At 45.5% G+C, this 27,882-nt stretch overlaps 1 long non-coding RNA gene across 1 annotated transcript, besides 2 other annotated features; it reads right to left on the reverse strand.

The window, feature by feature from the left end:
• Window positions 1-3,991: 3,991 nt before the first annotated feature.
• On the reverse strand, window positions 3,992-27,882 carry LOC105369572 (uncharacterized). The gene is made up of 3 exons (XR_948175.2): window positions 27,745-27,882; window positions 22,414-22,491; window positions 3,992-4,174 (listed from the first exon to the last, which is right to left on the reverse strand). It is a non-coding gene; the product is annotated as an uncharacterized LOC105369572 (long non-coding RNA).
• Window positions 12,347-12,852: an enhancer, noted in NCBI's record as "H3K4me1 hESC enhancer chr11:129185575-129186080 (GRCh37/hg19 assembly coordinates)". NCBI's record gives its function as "activates a minimal SCP1, AML or CMV promoter by ChIP-STARR-seq in naive H9 embryonic stem cells {active_cell/tissue: H9 hESC(naive)}" and the evidence as "EXISTENCE:reporter gene assay evidence [ECO:0000049][PMID:30033119]".
• Window positions 12,461-12,755: a silencer, noted in NCBI's record as "tiled region #8920; HepG2 Repressive non-DNase unmatched - State 4:PromP, and K562 Repressive non-DNase unmatched - State 24:Quies". NCBI's record gives its function as "represses a minimal TATA promoter and a strong SV40 promoter by Sharpr-MPRA in HepG2 and K562 cells {active_cell/tissue: HepG2 | K562}" and the evidence as "EXISTENCE:reporter gene assay evidence [ECO:0000049][PMID:27701403]".

A 27,882-nucleotide genomic window follows, 5' to 3' on the forward strand; every position in this document is an offset into this window, starting at 1 on the left:
TTATTCATAAAATCTGTGAATCACCTACTACTTAGCTTCAAAAAGGTGGGACATCTTAAAGGATTTGATAAACTAAAAGAATTCTCACCTAGTTACTATGGAGGAAGTCTGGCTAAAATCCAGAATTCCACATATGATCCCACAAGATCTCTTCCCGGCCTCAGCTAAAAGATTATTTAGGCTATGAATAAGGAAAAAAATTACAATTCCATAGTTGAGAATTTCAAGGGATCGTAGAGGTCTTCCAGTCTAACTTCTTTTTATCTTTGTAGGAATTATGGCTCAGAGAGGATAACTTGGCCAGTGTTGAGCAGCCAGCTCACTTCCATTCAACATACGTTTACTGAATAACCACGAGATCCCAGGCATCCTATTCAATACTGGAAATGCAGAAAAGTGTGAATAGTAAAGAAGTGAAGAATATGAGTTAGGCATGCACGCTAGGGCCAGTCTCCTTGTATTCAGTTTTACATTCACTGCTTCCTAGCCACATGTCCTTAGGCAAATTACTTAACCTGTGTATGCTTCAGTTTCACCATCTGCAAAATAGGGTGAGGATGGGTACACACTCACGGATTGTCGTAAGATTTAGAAGAGTAATATACTCTAAGCACATAGAGCAGAAAGGTGCTTGGCACATAGTGAGAGCTCTGTAAATATGTGCTAATTAAAATACCAGGTTTCTGCCCTCTTGGAGCTATCTATTCTTTGTTTAGTCAGAGAGCACAGCATATCGGGGCTACTAGCCCTTGCCCCAGTGTGCTGGGCTGTCTGACTAAACAAATCTAATTGAATTAGTGTTATATGCAGCCTGAGGCCACAGTCTTAACTAGTTTGTCCTTGAGTCTCCCCACTCCACCCCACAATGCCTAGTACATTGCCTGGTACATGGTAGATTCTATCAGTATTTGATGAATGAATGAATGAATGAATGACACACAAAACTAAAGGGTCAAAGAACAGGCATCCCAAGAAATATTTGACTAGTTTCTTCAAGAATGAGAAGGAAGAGGCCGGGCACAGTGGCTCACACCTGTAATCCCAGCACTTTGGGAGGCTGAGGCGGGCCGATCATGAGGTCAGGAGATCAAGACCATCCTGGCTAACACAGTAAAACCCCGTCTCCACTAAAAATACAAAAAATTAGCCAGGTGTGGTGGCGGGCGCCTGTAGTCCCAGCTACTTGGGAGGCTGAGGCAGGAGAATGGCATGAACTCGGGAGGCGGAGGTTGCAGTGAGCCGAGACGGTACCACTGCACTCCAGCCTGTGCGACAGAGCGAGACTCCATCTCAAAAAAAAAAATAAATAAATAAATAATGAGAAGGCAGAGCAGCACTTCTTCACATAGAGAAGAGACAACGGATTCTAGGGAGCTGAAGCCACGAGAGCAAAAGCTTGGAAGCGTGAAGGTGACTAGCTTTCTCCCCCTACGTATATGGCCTGCTCTTCTCACTTGCTTTATTTGAGGGACTTGGCAGTTAGACCTAGGTGTTCTGGAATCTGCTGTGCTCAGCTTCTGATGTATTACACAGCACCATTCTGATGAAATCCAGTGCTAATTAAGATGCTCAAGAGGTTATCAGCTGCCCTTCTCTTTAGCACATGTTCATTCAGAAGGAGCTGGCTGATTTCAGAAATCCAGCAGGAATTAAAGTACCGAATGTGTATTTTTTTTTAGTCCATCTGTTCATTGTGAAAATTTGATTACATTTTATTGTTGATGTAATAGATATTTTCCTTTTGTTGGATCCTCCTCCATCAGAAGCTGGATTGAATTATTTACCTGTGGGCATTATAAGTCACCTGGTGGTTCTTATGTCAGCGATATGTGGTTGTCACCCAATATCCGTTCTTCCCTTCTCCTATTGCAAGAGCATCCCCAATTTTTTTTTTTTTTTTTTTTTTTTTTGAGATGGAGTCTTACTCTGTCACCCAGGCTGGAGTGCAATAATGCCATCTTGGCTCACTGCAACCTCCACCTCCTGGGTTCAAGCAATTCTCCTGCTTCAGCCTCCCGAGTAGCTGGGATTACAAGCGTGTACCACCATGCCCAGCTCATTTTGTATTTTTAGTAGAGAAGGGCTTTCACCATCTTGGTCAGGCTGGTCTCAAACTCCTGATCTCAAGTGATCCACCTGCCTCGGTCTCCCAAAGTTCTGGCATCACAGGCGTGAGCCACCACGCCCGGCCCAGCATCCCCAATTTTTATCTGGGCACAGGGACACTCAGAATAAAGACAACATTTCCCAGCCTCCCTTGGACCCACATATGGCCAAGTGTCTAACTAGACTTGGTATGTTCAACCTCCAAAAAAATGCGTTTTAGAAGAGACATTCTCTTCGTCTTTCTTTACATCCTCTACTCTGGGTGGAATATAGATGTGATGGTTTAAGTTAGAGCAATCATTTCAGATCTTGCTCAGTGACCTTGGGAATGGAAAAAATCCACAGGGAATAAGTAGGAGAAGCTTGAGTCTCTGATACCCCAGGGAGTGCGATATGGGGATGTCTATCTCCAGACTTTTATCTGAGAGTGAAATAAGCTTCTGTCTTTGTTTAAGCTACTATAAGTTTGAGTTCATTGTTGTTTTTGTTTCTTGCAGCCTCATGGAATGCTAATTAAAGCAGCTTCCTATTGTTACCTACTGTACCATCTCCTTTGCAACCGCCAAGTCAGTTATTACTACACAGAATGAAACCCAAAATTTGATAATCGTCATTACGATTATGAGGATGAATGCACTGCAAAAACTTTGCCTCTTCCTTCCCCATCCAAATGATCACACTGTGAATTTCATGAACATTTTTATTATTTTTGGATTACCTCATTTGCATTCTATGAATGTCGATGATTAAGAGTTGGTCTGTGAGTAGGAGAGGAAGTAAGTGATAAAATATGTAGAAAAGAAGTAGAAATGTTACTGCAGCAATTTCAGTAGAAGAAAATAGTAGACTGTCTAACAGTATATAAATCATGGTGCTGTCATAATGCAGTGCTATGCAATGATTAACAATTGTGTTCTAGGCTGGGCGCGGTGGCTCACACCTGTAATCCCAGCATGTTGGGAGGCTGAGGCGGGTGGATCATGAGGTCAGGAGTTCTAGACCAGCCCGGCCAACATGGTGAAACCCTGTCTCTACTAAAAATACAAAAATTAGCCTGGCATGTGTGGCATAAGCCTGTAATCCTACCTACTCAGGAGGCTGAGGCAGGAGAATTGCTTGAACCCGGGAGGGGGAGGTTACAGTGAAATCGCACCACTGCACTCTAGCCTGGCCGACAGAGCAAGACTCTGTCTCAGAAAAAAAAATTAAAAAAATTGAGTTCTAGAATAGTATTTATTGCTTTGAGAAAATTAACAGAATATTTTGTCAAATAAAAAAGTAGGTTGTGGCCAGGCGCAGTGGCTCACGCCTGTAATCCCAGCACTCTGGGAGGCCGAGGCGGGCGGACAGCTTGAGCCCAGAAGTTGCCTTGGCAACATGGCAAGACCCCATCTCTACAAAAAATACAAAAATTAGCCGGGTATGGTGGTGCATGCCTGTAGTCTCAGCTATCTCAGCTACTCAAGAGGCTGAGGCGGGAAGATTGCTTGAGACCAGACAGTCGAAGCTGCAGTGAGCTGTGCTCACTCTATTACACTCCAGCCTGGGTGACAGAGAGAGACGCTCTCTTCCTCTCTCAAAAAAAAGTAGGTTCTACAATAATATGTAAACACACATATAAGTTTATGTGCATATATACATAAATTTATATTTCTATATACATAGAAAAAACATGATGTGTAGACATGAAAATGTTAACAGTAGATAACTCTGACCAAGAGGATTATAGATGATTTTTACTTTCTTCTTTTCTGTTTATTTGTATTTCATAATTTTCCATAATAAACACATATAATTTATATACATTTTAAGTTTTTAGGAAAGCAATTCTTGGGTGTGGGCAGATGAAGAAATAAACCCTTGCACATGTTTAAGGTTTGTATATGGCATTAGTCAGAGCAATGTTAAGCTATGCTGCAATAACAAACAAATCCGAAAAGCTCAGTGACTTAGCACAACGAAGTTACACTTATACTTCTTATTTATGTAGAATCCAGTGTGGGTCTGCAGAGACAGCCTTCCATCTGATAGCTCAAAGATCCATCTCCACTTGTAGCTATCAAGGTCACTGCAGCGGGAGAGAGGGATGAAGAAGATACTTACAGCCATAGTTTACATCACCTAACTGCAAGGGAGGCTGCTGGGACATTGGAGGACGTGTACAGGATTCGATTGCACAGTCTCTGCCACATACACCTTCAGTGATTATGTTTTCTCAACCAAAAATTAAATTTATGGGAGGATAAGCAAATAGTTGGGTTTAGGGTTCATTTTTTTAAATATGCATATAACTGAATATATGGTTGCATATTTGCTACAGGTTTTTATTTATTTATTCTAAGATGGCGTTTCACTCTTTTTGCCCAGGCTGGAGTGCAATGGCGCGATCTCGGCTCACTGCAACCTTGGCCTCCCGGGTTCAAGTGATTCTCCTGTCTCAGCCTCCCAAGTAGCTGGGATTACAGGTGTGCACCACCATGCAAGGCTAATTTTGTATTTTTAGTAGAGACGGGGTTTCACCATGTTGGCCAGGCTGGTCTTGAACTCCTAACCACAGGTGATCCACCTGCCTCGGTCTCCCAAAGTGCTGCAATTACAGGCATGAGCCACTGATCCTGGCCGCTACAGGTTTTTAAATAGTCAAAAATGGACTTGTCCATGAGGAAGGAGGAGGAAATTGGGCTGAGATGAGGCCAAAACTAAAAGTTGCCCTCTTCTCCCTCCTGACTCTTTAAGTTAAGCAACCTACCCATGCATCATGCTCCTGTTAATGCACAAAAGTAGGTTTCAAACCATAGTGGGAGTTAGAAGATGGAAGACCGAGGACTGAGACATGACAAGGGCTGACCAGAAGAAGAAATGAGGATTTCTGAGGGGCCAGGAAGCATGATACAGACCTCTCCCCTGAGACAGTGAGAATACCAGGAAGAACGGTGAACCAGCCAGAAAGTGGGGAGGAGAGCCAAGGTCCAAAGAGGACGGAGAAAGGAAGACTGCCAGATTTGGGCAGTGCCAAAGGCAGGAATTACAGTCAGAATAGATAGCCAAGAATGTAGGGTGTGGATGGAAGTGGGATTCGAGCAATTTTTTTCTCAAGAAACAGCAGGCTGTGATGTGTAGTCAGTTTGATTTAAATGATCATGGGGTAAGACAGCCAACAGAAAGCACCCCAGCAGTACCATGGCCCACAGAAAGAGCCCACAGTCTAAACTAGGGAGCAGCGCTGCATGGAAAATCCCCGGCTGAACTGGGCATAAATCCAGACATAAACTGGGGACAGGCAGTGGAGACATGCTGAAGATGGTTGACATCAGGGAGGCAGCAGGTATTCCAGATGATAGGAATGGATGAATCAGGATCTCAGCAAGGGGGCTGGGGGTGGCGAGAGCAAAGTCCAGCCCCTCGAAAGAAGGATCTAGCAAGAGATACTGTGATTGGGGCCCCACTAAAGGACAGGGCTTCACAACAGGTGGCGCTCCAGAAGTAGAACTGGTATGAAAACGAGGAAAATAGTCATTTTAAGCACGTAGGAAGAAGGGAAGGAGACTGTAGCCTTGGGGATATGTGGTTGCCTGGGGCCTCACCTCTGAGAAAGTGAACGCCAAGACTAGGACAGAAAGACCTACAATTTTTCTCTTGCCTAACTTGGTCTGCACTAGCTTGAGAATGTAGTGTTGAGCCTATGGATTGAAGGCATCAGTGCCTGAAGCAAAGCAGGTTTGGTGAGGCTGGATGCGGAACTGCTAACAGAACTTGCACATCATTTGAGAAAGGCTTTCCTAAGACAGCCTCATAAACAGGTACACGGCTCGCCCACCTGCCCTTTTCTACTGGGAAAAGCAGTGTTCAGGTGCACAGGTAACGTTAGTTAGTGACGCAGAGAAATAGGATGGGGGAAACACCTAGATTAGCCAAGTGTGTTAGTCGGTTTCCATTGCTATAAATATCAGCTATTCCACTGAATACCTGAGAGAGAGTAATTTATAAAGAAAAGAGACTTATTTGGCTCATGGTTCTGCAGGCTGTACACAAAGCATCATGTCACCATCTGCTTCTGGTGAGGCCTCAGGAAGCTTCCAATTATGTTGGAAGGTGAAGGGGAGCCTGTGTGTCACATGGCAAAAGGGAGAGCAAGAGAGAGAGGGAGGAAGTTCCAGGCTCTTTTTTTTTTTTTTTTTTGAGACGGAGTCTCGCTCTGTTGCCCAGGCTGGAGTGCAGTGGTGCGATCTTGGCTCACTGCAAGCTCTGCCTCCTGGGTTCACACCATTCTCCTGCCTCAGCCTCCCAAGTAGCTGGGACTACAGGTATCCGCTACCACGCCCGGCTAATTTTTTGTATTTTTAGTAGAGGTTTCACCATGGTCTCAATCTCCTGACCTTGTGATCTGCCCACCTCGGCCTTCCAGGCTCTTTTAAACAACCAGATCTCACGTGTACTCATAGAGCAAGAAGTAACTCATTACCAGGAGGATGTCCCCAAGCCATTCATGAGGATCTGCCTCCATGATCCAAACACCTCCCACCAGGCCCCGCCTCGAACAGTGGGGATCACATTTCAACATGATATTGGAGAGAACAAACATCCAAACTATATCACCAAGGTATTGGGCCCCTTGGGTGAAAACTCAAAACCCCATGTTTTGCCTCCTTGAAATGTGTTTCAAAACACAGAGAACTTTTAGAAAAAAGTGTGAACTTTTTACCGTTGTAGCTAAATGCATCGTTTGTGTATGGATGCTGGGTTTCAGTGCCTCTGGGAGCATTAGTATGGAGGGAAAACTCTAGAATAGGAGTCAAAGATTCCAAATTCTAATATGGCTTCACTGCAGCTCAAATAAAGTGATTAGGAATGTGCCTTAAATATCCCGAAGCAATGAAAAATGAGATTGCATGTATATATCTCCCCATCTAGCAACTTTGCAGAGCTGGGATTGGGGTGAGACAAACGAGGTGTCTAGGGTGTAAGCTTTAGGGGTTGCTCACTCTCAGGATTATGCAAAGTACCCAGCCAGCAAAATGAGAGCTGTGCACAGCAAGACCAGTGTGTCTTTCACAAAAGCTGCCCTTGTCTGATACTCAAGGAGGAAGGTGGAAGATGGGGGTTGTCTGGAAGGGTCAGAGTTTGAAAAGTTTCCCTTCCAGAAGCTGCTGAGAACTGAGGTCGTTGGGATGCTGTGAATAGCCCATCACCTGTGTCCCTGTCGTTTGGCCCCCTGGCAGCAGATTAAGATATGCCGGCCAGGTGCGGTGGCTCACGCCTGTAATCCCAGTGAGAGGTGAAGCCAGCTGGACTTCTGGGTCAGGTGGGGACTTGGAGAACTTTTCTGTCTAGCTAAAGGATTGTAAATGCACCAATCAGCACTCTGTAAAAACGTACCAATCAGCGCTCTGTGTCTAGCTACAGGATTGTAAATGCACCAATCAGCACTCTGTAAAAACGCACCAATCAGTGCTCTGTGTCTGGCTAAAGGATAGTAAATGCACCAATCAGCACTGTAAAAATGCACCAATCAGCGCTCTGTGTCTAGCTAAAGGATTGTAAATGCACCAATCAGCACTCTGTAAAATGGACTAATCAGCACTCTGTAAAATGGACCAATTAGCACTCTGTAAAATGGACCGATCAGCAAGATGTGGGTGGGGCCAAATAAGCGAGCCAGCAGCGGCAATGTGCTGGGGTCCCCTTCAAGCCTGTGGAAACTTTGTTCTTTTGCTCTTCAGAATAAATCTTGCTGCTGCTCACTCTTTCCTCCGCACTACCTTTATGAGCTGTAACACGCACTGCGAAGGTCTGTAGCTTCACTCCTTAAGTCAGCGAGACCAGGAACCCACCAGGAGGAGCAAACAACTCCGGACGTGCCACCTTTAAGAGCTGTAACACTCACTGCAAAAGTCTGTGGCTTCACTCCTGAATTCAGCGAGACCATGAACCCACTAGAAGGAAGAAACTCCAGACACATCTGAACATCAGAAGGAACAAACTCTGGACACGCCATCTTTAAGAACTGTAACACTCACCGTGAGTGTCCGCAGCTTCATTCTTGAAGTCAGCGAGACCAAGAACCCACTGGAATGAATAAATTCTGGACACACCAGCACTTTGGGAGGCCATGGCAGGCAGATCACCTGGGGTCAGGAGTTTGAGACCAGCCTGGCCAGCATGGTGAAACCCTGTCTCTACTAAAAAATACCAAAAAGTAGCCAGGCATAGTGGCGGGCGCCTGTAATCCCAGCTACTCAGGAGGCTGAGACAGGAGAATCACTTGAACCCAGGATGTGGAGGTTGCAGTGAGCCGATATCCCGCCGTTGCACTCCAGCCTGGGCAACAAGAGCGAAACTCTGTCTCAAAAAAAAAAAAAGATGCTAGTGAGGTGAGGATGGGAAAGGTGGGGTGGTTAGGAGCCGAGGTCTTGCCTACCTTTCCAGCCCAAGAAACCCCTCTCTGCCTTCAAGCCACATCATCACTGGCCTTAGCGGTGAACAGCACTGCCTGACTCCCATTCCTTTCTGATCCTTTCTGATCCCAAGGAAAACATTTCCTGTGGGCCTGCAAAGGGTTTCCATCTTTTGGAGGCTGCTTTTCAGATGTGATAGGAGGCCTGGCAAAACAAGTCAGGCTGGGCCCTTAGGGCCATTATCGGCTGACACCCTATCAGAACTGCCTTATCCGTTAACACCCCTGTAGGAATTAATTAGCTGAATGTCAGCTGAAAGTAAGAACAGACCAGAGGAGTAAGAGGAAATAGGTGAAGAAAGTTTCTTTATAGTGACAAGTAATGGCATCGCAGTGTGCCCCGTGCAGTTTTGCCTGTGTCGGCCTTGAATATCTCACTGAAAGTAGCTCCCACTTCCCCTCCCAACCTATGAGGTTATTTCATTGTCATTGTAATTTGTTGATGCCTAAAATTACCCATTTGCTAAGGATTCCTGATCCAAAAAGGTGCACTAAAAATTAAGGTATGTCAATTGGCACTGATACATGTCCCTATTCTCAGAGGGACTGGGTGCTGGGGAAATGGAAAAGTATGTACATTGTACATAAGGGAAGGAGAATGTCTAAAGAGTTTATATGCCAGGGCAGATTCAACCAATCTTTATGAAGCTCCTACTATGTGCCAGGTATATATTATCTTATTTTATCTTACAAAATCCCTGCAGTAGAAGTTTTACTATCCCAATTTTGATTCCCAGGACATTGCATTTGGATTCAAGCCCAGCGCTCTTTCTTCTAGGCTGCGGTGGGGAGCGGAGGGAAGAAACATAGGTGGTACATAGAATGAAATACAGAAACATATTTGTGAGTCACTGACACAGTTTGAGTCAGCCATACTTAAGTGTCCCATATTTGGGAAGAGTGGCAAAGATAAAAGCTGAGAAAAAGGAATCGACTGCAGAGACGGGAGGATTTGAAGCAAGGTGGAGCCGGCCTGAGGTTTCCGGGATGAGGAGAGGGTGTGGCGGATGATCCAGAGAGAAAGGCTGTGGTGTGGCGGAGGGGTGGTGGGGACAGGAACAGCCTGCTGTCTGAAATAACAGAGACAGTGAATCAGGCGATGACATCCTTTGCATATGTGGTGAAGGGTGGGTGGCCTAGGCTCCTGGACGCAGGTAACCAAGGAACACAACTGCAGGTATAGCCGCCTGCACCCGAATCAGCCTCCAGCAGCAGAGACACCCAGTTACGCAGCGGCGGTGTGCTAATTCCAGCCCAGACTGGCAGACAGCAGGGGCTCTGTCTGGGGGAGGAAAAGCTCTAGAGCTGGGGACGACACATTCTGAAGGAGGGAAATAAGCTCTGAGCTATATTTAGTGCTGCATGGCTGTGCGTAGCGGACTTATGGCAAGCGCGTGCATGCGAATTCATCAGATGGAAACACAGGCATGTGTAGCCTGCGCTCTAACTTCTTTTCCACCCCAAAGATTCTTTTTTTCTACAGCCTAACCTGTCGGGGCATCATTTCCTACCCGCTGTTGCGTACTGATGCTCTGCTGGTCAGCTTCCTAGGGCCTCTGCTGACGATAAGTACAGCTGTGAGATGATGACAACGGCACATAGCAGACATTGATTAATCAGCAGCTAGCTTTGGTTTTTTGTTTTTTAAACGGACACATCTTAGACAAGGAATCAGCAGCTTTCGACATCAGAGGAAAAGAAAGTTTCTTGATTCCCAATTTTTTAACAAGTGTCAGACACAAGTTCAGCTTGGTTGGAAATAGAAGCACAATGGAATTCAGTCGAAACTTAAATGAAGCCACAGACAATTTTTCCTGAGCTACAGTGGAAACTCTACACCTCACAATTAACTAAGAGCTTTCCCACCAATACAATTTGTTTGCAAAGCATTACATCATCAGAAAAAACTCTGATTGGCTGAGTCTATCCTCAAGGAAAGACCCATTTCTGGCAGCAAAAACTTTTCCAAGAGCCTTTTTGGGCACCAGACACCATATTTAGTTTTCCCCTTTTAGTGCAATACTTTAGTACAATAATGAGCACGCGGGGCCTTTAGGAGGCTGCTGCTGTTGGAACTTCTGTCAACAACTCTGAGGTTGCTTGTTCCTGAACAACAGAGGAGCCACCCCTGTGCTGGAAGTACCCTGCCTCGGTAGGTGAGGAGACACCACAAGGCTTAATGAGGAAACTATTACTCCTTCTGTCACTGGCCTTCCAATTACACACAGCAATGGTGATTTTGAGCAGCAGCCAAGGAATGTCATAACAGAGGCTACTGTGGAACCAAATTACAGGAGCTCAGGGAGCAATGAAAAGTCTTCAAGTTGGAAATGTTTATTAATTGCTTGTGTGCAATGTATTAGGCTGGGCAGGTGGGCCCTTGCCTTCCAGGAAGTCACAAACATGCATTCAGGCTCTCTTGGCCTATGTGTTATTCACATTATGTGAAGAAATACAAATAAAAACCTGAAACACTAGGACAGCAGAGCAAGTAATACACATTTCCTAATACATGAACAAAAGGCAATCATGGAGACTTGTACCAATTGGCCTTTGCCTGGGAAATAAGTAAAAGGAAATGTACCCCCACTGCTTCAGCCATGATTCTCCCTTCCACTTCCTTTTTCTTGGCTGTATTTAGTCCCTGTTCCTCATTCATCTATAACTGTCTAACTCTCAGATGAAAGCAGCAACTTGAGAAAATGTGGACACGTTATAGTTAGGGGGCGCTCCATGACCACTGTCTTGCACCTTTTTATTCTTCCCCAATTTCCTTCCGGTCCTTTCCCTCCCCTTCCCCTCCCCTCCCTGCCTTCCTTTCCTTCCCCTCCCCCTCTCTTTCCCCTTCCTCTTCCCCTTCCCCTTCCCCCTCCCCCACCCCCTCCCCTTCGTTTCCCTTCCCCTTCCCCCTTCCCCTCTCCCTCCCCCTCCTTTCTTTTGCTTTCTTTGTTCCCAAATGAAAATAGATGGCCTAGGTTCCACGAGAGACGATTGGAGGAGAAGAAGTAAGAGCTTCAATTTGGTGGCTGCCAGAGACTCTGCCTGCTGCTCCCTTCTTCCCTGTGGCTGCATTCTTACCTAACTCTGGCTGTGGTCAAGAAAGAGCTTTGCTAGAGATCTGTGCTAATCATTCCTGAATTAAAATACCTCACAGAGGTCCCAGGGTGGGGAGTGGAGTGGGGCCATTTTCCCAGGACACCCATCAGTGGGTCCTAGCCTGCTCTGGATGGCATGTTTCCTCCAGGGCTGTTTTTGGGTCACCACGGTACCCTCCACAATGGGCCTTTCCTCCAGGTAACAGTTTCCTAAAGCTCAGTGTCTAAAGGTAGACGAGAGAATGAGGTTGTAAGTCTCCCCCCATCTCCGAAGGACAAGGTGAATTACATCACTTTGGGTAGAATGAGGGTATAATGTGGATTTTCATGTGGTTAAAATTTTGTTGGGTTTCTGAACAGTGAAGATAATAATAGAAGGATGCAAGTTTCCTGTGATAGAGAAGAATAGCACCAGGAGGTGGGTGAAAATCAGAGGGTCACAGGGACAGATGGAGCAGGGGTGGCTGCATGAACGTGTGCATCCCAGGGGCTAAGACAGTGGAAGAGAGTGGGTGTGACTGAAGCCAGCCCCGATGTCTGGAGAGAGGCTCTGCAGTATCTGGTCAGGTCTTGTTCTTTTAAACTGGACCATCCAAGATGACACCAGGAAGTTAGCCTTTGGTAAGAACGAATGTTGCCCAGCCTTGTTCCAGCCTTCCTCCTGGGTCTTCACTCCCTTGAGACTTCCTTTCCATCTCCTCGCTCATTCCTGGTCCCACAAGCTCCTGCCCTCTGTCTTCACATCCTGTGATGACCTCAGGTTCCTGCAGGACTGATCTCAGCTTGCCTAGCTTAGCCCACGACTGGCCCTTCAAACACGGTCAGCTCAGCAGGCCCAGGCTGGCAGAGAAAAGCCTGTGGCAGACAATAGTGTTTATTCTAGGCAGTTGTCCCAGATGGGTCACTCCCAGCTTACTCCACACCTGCTGCTGCTTGCTGTTTTTCCCAGGATCTGAATTCCTCCTCCCCAAGCACTGGCTAGGGGGCTCCCTCTCGCAGCCCTGCCCAGAGTCACTCAAGGGGCTGGACCATCCTCAGTCCTTTAGCTGAGAGAGGAGAATGTCATCAGCAGGCCAGACATGATTTACAGCTGTCCTCTCATTCGCTTCTGCTGCCCCAGGTAACAGAGGCTCCGGATCAGGGCCGTCGCTGGGCTCCACCCCAGCACTAACCGGCTCGGCCAGGTTTACCTCACCCCCTTCAAAAAGGATGGTGTGAGGAATGCATGTCCTGCCCCAGGAAGACGGATCTGTTCAGGAAGAAGAGGACAAAGGGCAGGACTTCAAAGCAATTTGGGCCACAACACTGGGCTTCTGGCTCCTGTGTTGAGGGGAAGAGAGTGGGGAGAGGTCGGACCAGCATTCAACTCACAGGCTCTTCCCAGCTTCCATCCCCTTTGCCCTGGAGCTGCAGAATTTCCTGACCCTGGAGAAGGCACCTGCCAGTGCAAATCCCCAGCACAGGTTCTGGAAGCCATGCTGCTGTTTGCCCTGCACAGCCTGAGCCATGGCCCCTCTGCCTAGGGTGGGCTTCCGGGGGAATGAGGCCTCTGAGCTCCCCCCTGGGGCCTCCACCTCCCCACTTACTCAGCCACCCTTCACCTCCTCCCTCTCTTGTCTCATTGAGACCCCTTTCTTTCCTTTCCAGGGATGATTATTTTTCAATCACGTAGACTTGGAGATAAAGGAAGAGTAAGGGCAGAGAAAGGCTGGGGCATGAGCAGCTGAGGGCAGGGGTTAAGAAGGTGGCAGTAACAGAATAAAACCTGAGTCTGTCTTTAAACCTCCAGGCCTGAGGCCACGTTTGGAGGGTGGGGGTCTCACTTCAGTTTTTCTGTAAGTTTTTCTGAAAGTCTGATTATTCTGTTCCACCCACAGCAAGACGGGGAGCTTCAATCCCAGACGCTTGTGGCGATGGGAGTGGGGAGGAAGGATAGGACTTAGGAACTTCTTGCTGGGCATTTGCATCTGTCTATAAGGCGTGGTTATCCCATGTCTCATCTCAGCTTCCTGAAGATAGTGACTGTGACTTGGAGATCCAGGAGTTGGTGTGATGCAGTGGAGTTCCACTGCTTAGTGTCTGCATGGCTGTTAACAAGTCACCTAAGCTTAACGAGCTTCAGTTTCTTCCTCTGTAAAATACAAGCAATACTAACCTTATTTTATAGGGCTCTGAGGACTACATTGAAGAAACATTGAGGCTGGGCACAGTGGCTCACGCCTGTAATCCCAGCACTTTGGGAGGCTGAGGCGGGCAGATCATGAGGTCAGGAGATCGAGACCATCCTGGCTAACACGGCGAAACCCCGTCTCTACTAAAAATACAAAAAAAATTAGCCAGGTGGGTGACAGGCACCTGTAGTCCCAGCTACTCGGGAGGCTGAAGCAGGAGAAGGGCGTGAACCCGGGAGGTGGAGCTTGCAGTGAGCCGAGATCACGCCACTGCACTCCAGCCTGGGTGACAGAGCGAGACCCTGTCTCAAAAAAAAAAAAAAAAAACCACTGAAGCCCTGCCCACATTTTAGATACTTACTAAAAAGTAGCTATTATGATCATACTTCAGTTTCCTCGTTGGTAAATTAGGGGTAATAAAATACCCATCTCACTGAGTTGTTTTGAATATTAACCTAGTTAATATTTATAAGGTCCTTAGAAAGGTGCCTAGCACACAGTGAGCTCTGTGCAAGTGTTACTAAAGAAAATGAATCATCCTGTTCTTTTCCACAATACCTAGACGTTGCCTTGCCCAGGTAAGTGCTTTGTAAATATTGCTGAGATTAGTCCAATGCATATGCTAGAGCCAGGAAACAGACAAGGGTGGATACTCACAAGAGGAAGCTGGTGGTTAGGCTGAGTAGCATACTTCTGTTTCTCCCTTCTCCTTGTTTATTTTCCTATTACCGATTTCTCATTTCGGACCCTGCTGTGGTTTGAAAGTTTGTGTTCCCTCCAAAATTCACGTGAAAACTCAATCCCTAATGCAACAGTATTGAGAGGTGGGGCCTTGAGGAGGTGATTAGGCCATGGCAGCTCTGACCTCATGGACTGGATTCATTCCTTATTAAAGGGCTGGAGGGAACTAGCCCTTTTTGCCCTTCTGCCTTCCCACCGTATGAGGACCAGCAGAGACCAAGACACTGGGCCTGCTGGCACCTTGATCTTTCACCACCCAGCCTTCCATACTGTGAGAAATAAGTTTCTGTTGTTTGTAAACTACCCAGTCTCAGGTATTTTGTTATAGTAGCATAAATGAACTAAGACAGATCCATTTCTATTGGCTCTGTATTCTCTCTGCTCCATAATTCCTCTTCCAAAAAAGGAACAGAAACTGATTCCCAAAGGCCCCACATTTACTAAGAAAGAGTCCGAGCAGACACCATAGCTCTACCTACACCTTTTGTGTCTCTCTCCTAGTGTCCAGCTTCCATCTAAACTTTCTTTTGTGATCTCTGATTGAAAGACCCAGAGAGCTGGGCATGGTGGTACACACCTGTAATCCCAGCTACTCAGGAGGCTGAGGCAGCAGGATCCCTTGAGCCCAGTGCGCCATGATCACACCTGCGATTAGCCACTGTGCTCCAGCCTAGGCAGCAGAGTGAGACCCTGTCTCAAAAAACAAACGAGCAAACAAAACAAAAAGACCCAGTGGTTCCAATGAGTGCAGTGTCTAATCCTAATTAAGTACCTATTCATTAAATGTGTGTGAGGAATTGAAATGTATATTCCAGGGAATAAAGTCCAGCAGGGAAATAAATCCACCAGAAACCATGTTGGAGCAGTCCGGGTAGTTACTCCTATTGCCTTTCTTTCGTCTCAATTCATTCAGTGCCCTAGTTGTTTTAAGATCACAGGTGTTGTGTATTCACTAAGTACTAGGTCTTTGCTAAGCTCTTGCATGCCTCCCCGCAACCCCTATTTCATCCTCGAATTACCTTGATAGGGTAGCTGTGATTATGTCTGTCTTACAGATGAGGAAACTGAAGGCTAGGCCAGTTAAATAGCTTGTCCTAGGTCACACAACTACTGAGTGATAGACGCAGTTCTCAGATCTGACTTGAAATCCTGCACTCATTCTGCTGTATTCACAGGTAAGAGCAAGTTAAACTTGACCCTTCTCTTGGCCTTCTGAAATCGACTCTTTAATATGTAAGCTGTCTTTTCTGATATTTTTGGTTGGAAAAGAAAATGTGTGCATAACTTTCTTCAATCAAAGGGTGTTTTGCATCGTCCTTCTTTTTCTATCTAAAAGCATCTTTTCTGCATACTCTCTCAACAATGCCAGCCCTTCCTACTCTCAGCTCTAAAACCTGTCACTGACTCTAAGAGAGTTTTAACAAAAGAACTGGAACAGGAAGTGTTTTTAAACAGGCTGTCCCTTTCTTTAAATAATTAAAGAAGATGCTATCAGGGAGATCAGGTTTTTATTAGCTCTTCTCAAGTTCACTGTCACTTGCTCTCCTCCAAGGCAGGATTGAAGGTTGGGTGGAGCGGGGCATAGAAAAGTGCTCCAATTTGGACAGCATGTTGGGAGCACTTTGTAGAGGCTGGCCATTCACTGCCTATCTGGACTCTTTGCCAGTGGAATAGTGAGCTTGAATGGCAGGTTACAGTTCTTTAGAAACAAATTTAGAGGAAATGAATGAACGAAGCAATGAATGAAATAATTGTTGGACCTTAATAATAGTGGGTGTATCGTGGGCAGCGAGGCTTTGAGAACGCTAGCTCTCATCCCTCGGCGGATGCAAAGCAATTAGATCAATGGAAAATATGCATCAGGAAAAAAATGTCTAAACTGGGAGCTCAGGAACACAACTCCCATTCAAACATGTCTTCTAAATCTCGGCCCCAGCAACATGTTCTTTGCAATTTCACTCTCTTGGTGGAATAAACAGGCCAGGAGCCCACCCCACCCAACAGGGTGTCTCACAGCAGCCTGCAGGACAATAAGGAGGAAATTGGTTTTCCGGGAAGCAATTTCTCTATCAGCAGAGTAGTTCTGCATTGGCATAGAGGAGAGGTTAGGCTGGCAGTTGGAAGGATTCCACCTGCTCCTTCGAGTCCTAATTTGGATAGCCGCAGTGTTAAAAGGACACCATGAAGAGCACTTTTTAATATTGGGAAGGAGTATTGATGTAGAGATTGGGGGCTTCAAGGCCAAAGGCACTGGCTGGAAATGGACTTGCCCTGAGCCCTGGAGCTGATTCTTTATGCTGCCTTCTTTCCTCTTACTAAATATAAAATGAGGTCAAACGGTGCATGAAGTAGGGGTCAGAAGCAAATTGAAGGCTTAATAATAAACATTTATGGTGCCGAGCTCATTACAGGGCTTATGCAGATCCTTTTAAAATACCTGCCTGTTTGACATTTTGCCTTGATTTACACTAGAATTTAGAATGCCAGGAGGGTAATTAGCTTATATCTTGTCATTTTAGCATCCTATTTCTGGGGGAAAAAAGAAAACCTTAGAAAACTACAGCTACTTACCACAGAGTGCTATGCTTCTGAAGAAAAAGTACTTTAGGTCTCCAAATTCCTTTTCCTTAGCTGCCCAGGCCTGCAAGAGCTGAAGACCCTGAGCTTTATCTGGTTTCATATGTTATTTCTCTGGTGTTTAGGGGACAGCCGCACCCATACGGGATTAAAGCAGGCACTGTGGGGTTAGGTCAGTCCGTGTGAGGGAAGGCGCCCTGGATCAATGGCCCCTTTTTGTCCTCTCCCACCCACGCCCTGTTGACTCAACCTTCAGAGTTGGGAAAACAGAAAACATTTCTGCCTACGACCTCCAGCAAGTCACTCAGGCTCCTTGGGCTTCAGTTGCCTCAACTATGAAATGAGGGGATTGGACTGTATGATCTCTAACATTCACAGCCATAAATCCCCTTTTCTGGGAGAGGACCAATTCACATAATCTGTTCACTGTCCCTGTAAATGTACTTGGGTTTGTCAGGCTAAATGTCCTAGTTTTGGGTTCTGAAAATATGGTCACTGTATTTCTCAGATCACTTTCAGCCACTAGGATTCTAAGTAGGTAATAGCCTTAAGTGACTGTTCTAATTACTAGCTCTATGACCTTGGGCAAGTTGGTTAAACTCTCTGGGATTCAGGCCCTTATGTGCAAAATTTGGGATAATAAAATCTGATCTCAAGGCAGGGAGCTGGACTAGATAGAGATTGCTCTGGCTAAAGTTTTGTGATTCAGTAACTTGGGGCCCATCTGCTCTGGGCAAAGGCAGTAGCTGGCCCCCGGATGTTTAAATGGGTGAGGAGAGGCACCAAAAGTGTCCCTGAGGACAATGTCTCTTTGCAACCTGGAGAGAAACCAGGAAGCACTATCCTAGCTGCCTGCAGTGAAGAAAGAAATTCTTACAGTAAAATGTCAGTGGCCTCTTCAGCAAAGCTTCCTGTGCAATTCTTTTTGGTAACAGAGGAAAGCCTCTTAGGAGGTCGTAGGACTGTCACTCCAAGGCCTTAGGGATGCCAAAGTATTGCCTCGCCTTCCCTCCCATATTTCAATTATCAAAGAAGATTCGAAAGAATATCAGGGGGAATTCGGGGACCCTAGACCGGGGACCAGCCGCAACCTGGGTAATGCTGGACAAATCACTTAACCTCTCACAGTCCAGTTTTCTCGAAAGAAATACTAGAATGTTTGAATATGTCAGTTCCAAGATCTCTTATTTGGAGGTTCTATGGAATCTCTAATGATGGATTGCAAATATCCACAGGGGGATATTTTGGGGCAGAGAGGACTCCTTTCCCTTTCTAATCATAGGTAGGCAACATTGTCTCTCACTGATCTTCCAGGCTATCAGTGGAACAGATTTTTTTGATCAATATATTTTGATGTACTTTATGTATTATGTCTGATTCCTAGCTCTGTGCCTGACATATAACATATGCCTCCTGGTAATTAGGTTTCTGTTTAAAAAAAAAAAAAATGAGATGTTTTGTAAATATTCCTAGTTGACTTTTCATTTGCTTTAAGCAAGTAATTTCTCCTTAAACAGCTCCCATGACAGTTTCTGCCCTTCTGGTAAAGAGAAGGCTATTAGTAGTCTGCAGAATGGAGTTTAGGTTGAAGTACTGGGAGCCAGGTGGCCCATCCAGAAGGCTGCTGTGCTAATCCCACATAAAGCAATGGAAACCTGGAGTAGCACCCAGTTTTCCAAACTGAACACTGGACTGGTTTTGGGGTTGTCTTTCTTCCTTACTCCTCACACCTTATTCAGCACCAGTCCCTGCGGGGTCTCCTTCTGGACCCTTCTCAAATCTGTCCACTTGTCTGTGTCCTCCCGGCCTCTGCCCACATTCAGGACACCATGAGGGCTCCCCTGCAACAGCCGCCTCACACCTTCGCTGCATCTAATCTGTCCCCTCCCAGACCATTTTAAAACAATTTTGGAATATTCCGAGCACAGATGAAAGTTTAGAGAATAGTGAAAAAACACTCAGGAGAAGCAGTAATGCTCACTTTAGAAATATTAAGAGAGGATCACCTTAGAAGCAAATGGCTTCAGCTCAGATTGCTTTCTAGACAGGTTAACTTTGGATGAGCTCTTAACCTCTCTGCTGCTTAGTTTCCTCATTTGGAAAATGGGGATGACAAGAGCAGTGTATAAACCTTATAGAGCTTTTTTTTTTTTTTTTTTTTTTTGTAGAGAAGGGGTCTCACCATGTTGCCCAGGCTGGTCTCAAACTCAAACCCCTGACCTCAAGTAATCCTCCCACCTGGGCCTCCCAAAGCACTGGGATTACAGGCATGAGCACAATGCCTGGCCTCTGATAGGTTTTTGTGAGAATTAAACTTATTCATTTAGGTCTATTTGTGTTAGCCTTCATTATTATCCTTTACCCTTCTCTGATTTTGTCAAATTTAAACCAATCTATTCTGCACTCTTTCTAATCTAATCCTGTCACACATCTTCCTAAATCTGCTAAAGGCTCCCAGTTGTCCTCAGGACAGAGTCCAAACTCCTCAACAGGACTTGCTAAGCCTTCCAGCCTTGCCCGGGCTAACCCTGCATTTGCAGTAAATGAGGCACCAGAGAGATGGCGTTCCAGGCTGGGGACGCTTCGTCAGCAAGGCCTGGAAAGTAGAGATGAGGCAGGTGGATTGCAGGGGCTGATCTGCAGAGGCACGCAGGTGGGAGCTACAAGTGAGTCTTAGTTCTCCAGCCAGAACGCCCAGGTGCATACCATGGCTGTGCCGCTGATTAGCCATGTAACCTTGGGCAAGTTACTGAACATCTATCTCTATATCTCTGTTTTCTTATTTGTATAATTTTAAAGGAATGCACTTACTGCATGAGGTTGTGGAAAACACTGAACGAGGTAATACAAGTAAAGTGCTTAAAATAGCTAGTACTCAAGAAGTGGTCATTCTTATTTTGGGACAAGAGCAGAGGTATATGAGTGCAGATTTTGTGGTATCTCAAAGGCAGAGAGAGGAGAGCGACTGGGTAATATGTCAGTAGCATACAGAATAGAATTCAGGTTGAAGATCCTGAGCTGGCCAGCCAGGCAGGAGGCAGCTGCTGGGACTAGGGTAGCGAGGGCGACATTAGAAGGAAAAGACAAATATGAGAATGATCTTAAGGCCGAATGACAGGTTCCATAAAAGGTAGATTTGCTGGAACACTAAGTCCAGAAAACAGTTCATGAGAGAAGTATCCTTTTACCTAAATTTGGGAAACGTCTAAGCCAGTTGTGGTTGTGAGGGCCTGTGGTCCCAGCCTATGCAGGAGGATTGCTTGAGCCCAGGAGTTCCAGGCCAGCCTGGACAACATAGTGAGATCTCATCTCTATTAAAAAAATAATAATAATAAAACCAATAAATTTGGGAAATACCACATATTTCCCTTTTTGGAAAGTCACACTGTACAGGAGAAGGCTAAAAGAGCCTGGAAGCGCTAGAGTAGAAAAACATGTCAATATTTGATAAATGCAGTGTTTCGGAACTAGTTTGATCACAGGACATCTCTGCCCCCCTCCACTGTTGATAACACAGTTTAACATCTCGAAGAAGCAGCGATCGGTAGGACCCCCTCTGGAATACACTGCCCTGAAGTAACATGTGTGAACTGTATAAACAGAGCTGGAGAGAGAAGAACACACACATACACAGTGCACAATGCGACTATTTTCCTTCTCTCTGTTCTCTGGTGGGCTCGAGCAGTGGGGAGCCCATGAGGATAGTTTAAAATTAAATGCTCATTTCCCTTTCCTTGCCTGGTGTGAATGTGGCCTCTCTCCCTCTCCCTCCTACCCACTTCCTTCTCCGACAGAGTCCGCTTGCCCCAGAGAGAGCCATCTGGAGAGTCGTGTTGCAATATTGACTATTGCAAGGGACCTCCTTCTGGCATTCAGTCTAGTTCATGGTGTTTTACTTTCATCTCTCTGGGTTAGAAAATCATCTGACGTCTCTAAGCGGTTTCTTTGGGCTAATAACATTATTACAATTTTTCCTTTTCTCCAGAATCAAGGCTGTTTTCCCCCCGCAAGGACTTCTTGGCATTTCCGTGAGGTTTGTTATTCGGTTGTGCTTGAAGTATGTGGCATCCTGTTTGTGCTGCAAACAGTAAAATAAAATCCCCCTCAGGATCACTAGCTGAACCTCGGGGACACTTCTGCTGAAGGAATCCCATCTGTCCTGGATCAGATCCTGGCCCTGGGGACAGGGCTGGGACTGGCAGGGAAATTCACTCGCACTGTCAACGCTGACCTTTTAGGATCATGTTTGAGTAGTGACTGTGAGTAAACACCAGCAAGAACGTTGCAGACAGGGCCAGAGGTAATGACATGCCGTTCACCAGGGAGTGTCATGAACTTGGAATGGATAGCACAGGCTGGACCCACGCTCTGGGGCTCATGCATAAAGAAAAGCCTCCAGAGGCTTCCTCTGAAAATCAGTTCTCTTGCCCCAGTAACTGAGCCCAAGCAACCTCAAATGGCAGCAGCCTTTCAGATGAGGTCTCTGGCCAGTTCTTCTGCTGTCAGCGTTTGGCCCTCACTAGTCTTGTACCTTCCAATGAGGCCTGTTCTCTTCATCTCCTCCCATAACCTTCCTTAGCAGAATGGAGTCATTAGTGCATTTCTGCTCGTTTAGCTGCTAACAAATAGACAAAAGAGGCAGGGGCCGGGTGCAGTGGCTCACGCCTGTAATCCTAGCACTTTGGGAGGCTGAGGTGGGCAGATCACCTGAGGCTGGGAGTTCAAGACCAGCCTGGCTAACGTGGTGAAACCCCATCTCTACTAAAAATACAAAATTAGCTGGGCGTGGTGGCAGGCGCCTGTAATCCCAGCTACTCAGGAGGCTGAGGCAGGAGACTCACTTGAACCTGGGAGGCAGAGGTTGCAGTGAGCCAAGATCATGCCACTGCATTCTAGCCTGGGCAACAGAGCGAGACTTTGTCTCAAAAAAAAAAAAAAAAAAAAAAAAGAGGGAGGGACTTGGGGTTATGGAGAGAGATCAATCACTCTTCTTGACTTGAAAACAGTCTAATACATAGCTTAACAGGCACAGGTGCCTTTCTCACTTCCACGCTTCTCCCGCACGATGCCAACATTCTTGGCCCGCTTCTCTAGGGGAAATCAAGTCCTTTAGGGTTCATATTCAGGTACCATGCCCAGTTCCAGGTTAAAACGATGCATTCAGCCCCTAAATTCTGAACGTGTTTTGCCACCCTCAAATTCTCCTGATCGACCTCACCCATGAAGTAGCCTCCCTCCAACCCTGCGCCAAATTCCAAAACAGGCTTACCCCCAGCCGTGATTATAATTCTACAGCTTGCTCTGTCATGATTGTCATTGCCTTCTGTCCTTATGCTCCTTCTTTCCCCTGTTGGTCAGATAAGAAGGCTTTACCCCAGGAGACAGATAAATAATTGCAGATCCTTTATAGGAGGCTAATTTCTAGAATTTAGGTGGGGGTTGAGGGGGCAGAGCGGGTAGGAGTTTGTGCTAAAATAATTTTAGTATATAAAAAGTAAGTTTAGTTTTATTTTGTTGTTATAGGCTGGTGAGGCCAGTGATATATAAGTTATTCATACTCTTGTAAACTGTTGATATCTTTTTCCTGTCTAAGACTGCAACCTGTTTAGCTTTATGTCTCCAGGGCCTAGTCCCCTGTTTGACCACAGAAAGTGTTCAATAATGATTGGATTATTTTCCTCTTCAAAAATAATTCCTCCAGGTAACTAGTTAGCCTTTACTTGATCATCTTCAGCAAAGGGCAGGGTTTTTTTTTTTTTGGTTTGTTTTTGTTTTTTTGTTTTTTGTTTTTTGAGACAGAGTCTCGCTCTGTCTCCCAGGCTGGATTGCAGGGGCACGATCTCGGCTCACTGCAAGCTCCGCCTCCCAGGTTCACACCATTCTCCTGCCTCAGCCTCATGAGTAGCTGGGACTACAGGCACCTGCCACCACGCATGGCTAATTTTTTGTATTTTTAGTAGAGACGGGGTTTCACCGTGTTAGCCAGGATGGTCTCGATCTCTTGACCTCGTGATCCGCCTGCCTCAGCCTCCCAAAGTGCTGAGATTACAGGCGTGAGCCACCGTGTCCGGCCAAGGGCAGGCTTTTGATCCACCCATTCCATTGACTAGCCGATTCCATTAATAGACACTTTTAACATTTTGGGAGACTTTTCTTATAGAGCAGTGGTTCTAACCTTTTTGGCACCAGGGACCAGTTTCATGGAAGACAATTTTTCCACAGACCAGGGGGTGGTGGGGGATGGTTTCAGGAGGATTCAAGCCCATTACATTTATTGTGCACTTTATTTCTACTACTACATACTATTACATACCCACCATAGTGTAGAATCAGTGGGAGCCCTGAACTTGTTTTCCAGCAACTAGATGGTCCCATCTGGGGATGATGGGAGACAATGACAGATCATCAGGCGTTAGATTCTCATAAGGAACATGCAACCTAGATCCTTTACATGTGCAGTTCATGATAGGATTTGCTGTCCTATGAGAATCTAATGCCACCGCTGATCTGACAGGAGGTGGAACTCAGGAGATAACACAAGCAATGGAGAGTGGCTGTAAATACAGATGAAGCTTTGCTTGCTCACCACTCACCTCCTGCTATGTGGCCCAGGTCCTAACAGGCCACAGACCAGCACCAGTCTGACCCAGGGGTTGGTGACCCCTGTTATGGAGAGTTGAAATCTGCCTTTCTGTAACTTTTAAACATTCTCCCTACTTTACCCTCTAGGGTCAAAACAACAAAATCAGCTATGTCTTCCCATGTGATACTTGTTTTCCTAAGTCTCTTATTTTCCATGTTAAACATTTCTAATTCCTTGACTTTTCTCGTAGTTGATAATTTCTAATTTAAATTTAAATTGTACTTGACAAATGATCATGTTATGTATTTTGGGGCAAAATGTGATAGTTTGATATTGTGTACATTATGGAAAGTTTGTATCAAGCTAATTAACATGGCCATCACCTCACATACTTCTCATTTTTCTGTAGTGAGAACATTTTAAATATATTATTTTAGTAATTTTGAAAAATACAATACATTTATTATTAACTTTGGCCATTTTGCTGTGCAATAGATCTGGAAAACCTATTCCTCCTATCCAACTGGAAGCTGATAGACTTTGGTCACCTTCTTCCCATTGCCCATTCCCCAATCCCACCCCAAAATTTTCTTGATGGCTCTCTTTAAACATTTCTTCGTGCTAATGAGCCCATGTCAGAGCACTGTCCTGAAATGACTCCTATTATTACTAAGCTGTATTAGTCCATTTTCACACTGCTATAAAGAACTGCCTGAGACTGGATAATTTATAAAGGAAAGAGGCTTAATTGGCTCATAGTTCCGCATTCTGGGGAAGCCTCAGGAAACTTACAACCGTGGCGGAAGGCAAAGGGGAAGCAAGGACCTTCTTCATATGGTGGCAGGAGGGAGAAGTGCAAGCAGGGGAAATGCCAGACACCTATAAAACCATCAGCTCTCGTGAGAACTCACTGTCATGAGAACAGCATGGGGGAAACAGCCTCCATGATCCAATCACCTCCCTCCCTCAACACCTGGGGATTACAGGCCCCTTCCTCCACATGTGGGGATTACAATTTGAGATGAGATTTGGGTGGGGACACAGAGCCATACCATAGCGTAAGCCTTTTAAGGTGAGCTCCAGGAGTTGCCCTGCATGCTTCAGGATGGCCTGCCCAGGACATATCCCCTCTTTGCTGTGTGCTTTCTGCCTCTCCTGGTGTCCTGTAAGGTCACTTAGGTTCCCAGGAGGCCACCACAGCTGACCACCGATTCTCAGGAACGTAGCCATCCAGAAATGGAGGACAGGGCAGCCTACTTTTGATGAAAGTAGATGAAGAAATCGCTGGGTACTGGATGTTTTGAGGAAAGCAAAGCTAGGTTGGGAATGACAATAGGTGAACAGATGGGAAAAAAGAGCGGAACCCTCATAGATGAAGGGCAAAATGAGGCGTGGATGCTTGGAGGGGGGTTTAGAGGGAGGTTGCTGAGAGAAATGGCATGGGTGCCAGGAAAGGTGAAGGGTGGGAGGTTAACCTTTCTAACTCACAATTTTACCTCGACTTTCCATAGTCCAATGCTTAAAAATTATTTGAAATGGCAGCTTCTGAACTAAATCTAAGACTCAAGTTTCTGAATTTAGCTGTCAAAGAAAAATGATTCCATTTTAATTTTATTTTAATATGCTTCTGTTCTATGAATTTCATCTCAAAATGTTTTACATTTGCACTTATGCAAAATGTATGATTAAATTCAGAATAAAAGTGATATATCTAGAGATATCTGTTAATCTTTTATTCTCTCAGGTCAGCCTATTAAGCAAATTCACTAGTTAAGCAAATTCAGTTTTCAATTTAATTGAAACAGACAAGAATTTTCACTAGCAAAAAGCTGAAATATAAATAAATATGTGTTTTCACATCTATGTTTCTTTTCCAAGTCAGCTGGTAGGAAAATTTGCTGTGAATTTAAATGGTCCCTTTTCATCAAGAGAAAGCTGTTGGGCTGTAATTCCCTAACACTCTTTCCCTCTCCTTTCTCTTGAAAATTTCTCTTCAGCAAAACCTGCCTGGGATGGATTAGTAGAATCAGGCTGCCATGGCTGGAGGAGATATCTTGCAGATCATGGAGTTCAACCCTTATTTTATGCAGATGAAAGAGCCAGAGAAGCTGCTGATTTGCTTTGCTTGCAGTCACACAGTTAGTTGCTAGCCAAGTGTTAATCCCTTAGAGAATGTTCTACTCCTAGTTCTTGGACTTCCGGTGTTTAAGTTCAGGTAATTTGTCTTCCACGCTAGAAGACAGTCCTCCATCTCTCCTCCAGAGCTCCAGTGTGGCCTTCTCTAATTTTCACAGATGTACACACCTTGGCTGAATCATGGCTCTGCCTCTTCTGTGAGAAATGTGAAGGCCACAAGGAGCCCAGAGGTAGGGCCTATTTCTTTTTCTTTTCCTTTTTTTTGAGACAGAGTCTCACTCTGTAGTCCAGGCTAGAGTACAGTGGTGCGATCTCGGCTCATTGCAACCTCCACCTCCCAGGTTCTCCTGCCTCAGCCCTTCAAGTAGCTGGGACTACAGGGGTGAGCCACCATGCCCAGCTAATTTTTGTATTTTTCGTAGAGATGGGGTTTCACCATATCGGCCAGGCTGGTCTTGAACTCCTGACCTCAAGTCATCCACTCACCTTGGCCTCCCAAAGTGCTGGGATTACAGGTGTGAGCCACTGGTAGGGCCTATTTCCAACTGGAGGGGAGGACTGGTGAGGAGGACTCTCAAGAGAAAAAGCCAAGATGAGTGTATTGAGTAGCCTGGTTTGTATCTGGGTGTGCTTTATGTCTCTGGCTATTCTCTTGGTACCTCTATCTGCTGTACACAGCGGGAGAGGAGAGAGCAGGAAGAGGGTAGAATAAGACCCCTGTGTTTTTCATTTTGTTCCTTGGATGACTGGTAGCGAATGTAGTACTGGTCCCATTACTCATCGGTGTTCTCGGCAGAAGGGGCCTTTGGGAATATTGTCCTACCTTTAATCTCCTTGGCATGTTCAGAAATAATACGCTGCTAGCCTCTGACAAGAAAGCATGCAGCCCTGAGTGATCACTGAAGGCTCTTCCTTACTGAGGCCAGGTCTGGGTTGGTTACACTGTGTCAGCCTAAACAGTGAAGCTTAGTATGGTGGCTGCTGGAGTCCTGCTAAGTGAATAAATTAGACTTAGGAAGAATAATTGCATAGGCCTGGTTGGGTAGCATTGCCGTCTGGCTCTATTTATCATCATAGAAAAGTATACCATATGCTATGGAGGTAGTGAAAAGAGCAGACAGCTCTTTCTGGAATGTTGGGAAGGTTTTATGGAGGTGGTGACATTTGAGTTGAGCCTTGGTATAGCAGCTTGTCCTGCGGAAATAGGGCAGGGGTGAGTGCAGAAGTGGAAAATCCATGCAGAGAATAGCCACATAGACAAGGACTCAAAAGAGAGAATGGAGTAGACTCTCTGCTTGCAGTTTTCTTTCAAAGATGGAATAAAAGAAAAATGACCAACTTGCTTGGAGAAAATACATTTTTATGATGCTTTGTTCTGATACTATCCTTAAGCACTAAGTGCATGGGCATGTGTGGAAGGTGGTCTTCGTAAGTCGATGAAAGCTGTTTTTACAGATTAAAGAGTGTATAGAAACATGTATGTGCATATACATGCTGACATCCATGCAAGGAGACAATTGTCCTTTGTGGCTGGCTTGGAAATCATCCTGCTCTTGGTCTTGCAAAATTCAGCCTTGTATTGATTGTAGTGATCACAGATTTTTAGACCACAGAGATGACATAATCCAACAGCCTTGTTTTTATAGCCAATAAGCCTGAGGCCCAGTGAATGACTTGCCTAACGTTAGTATTTCACCCACCTAGTAAGTGGGGGAACCAAGACAAGAATTTGGGTGCTCCTATGGACTGAGTTATGTCCCTCCGAAATTTAGTGTTGAACTCCCGAGCCCCAGTATCTCAGAATGTGACTCTATTTGGAAATAGGGTTTTATAAAAATAATTAAGTTAAAATAAGGTCATTACGGTGGACCCCAATCTTACCTGACTGATGTCATTATAGGAAGAGGAGATTGGTTACAGACAAGCACAGAAGGAAGACCACACGAAGACACAGAATGGAGGCTCTCTCTATGCTACACAGAGAAGTCTCAGAAGAAACCAATCTTGCTGGCACCTTGA

The sequence above is a fragment of the Homo sapiens genome, chromosome 11 (genome assembly GCF_000001405.40).
Source record: "Homo sapiens chromosome 11, GRCh38.p14 Primary Assembly".
NCBI lineage: Eukaryota > Metazoa > Chordata > Mammalia > Primates > Hominidae > Homo > Homo sapiens.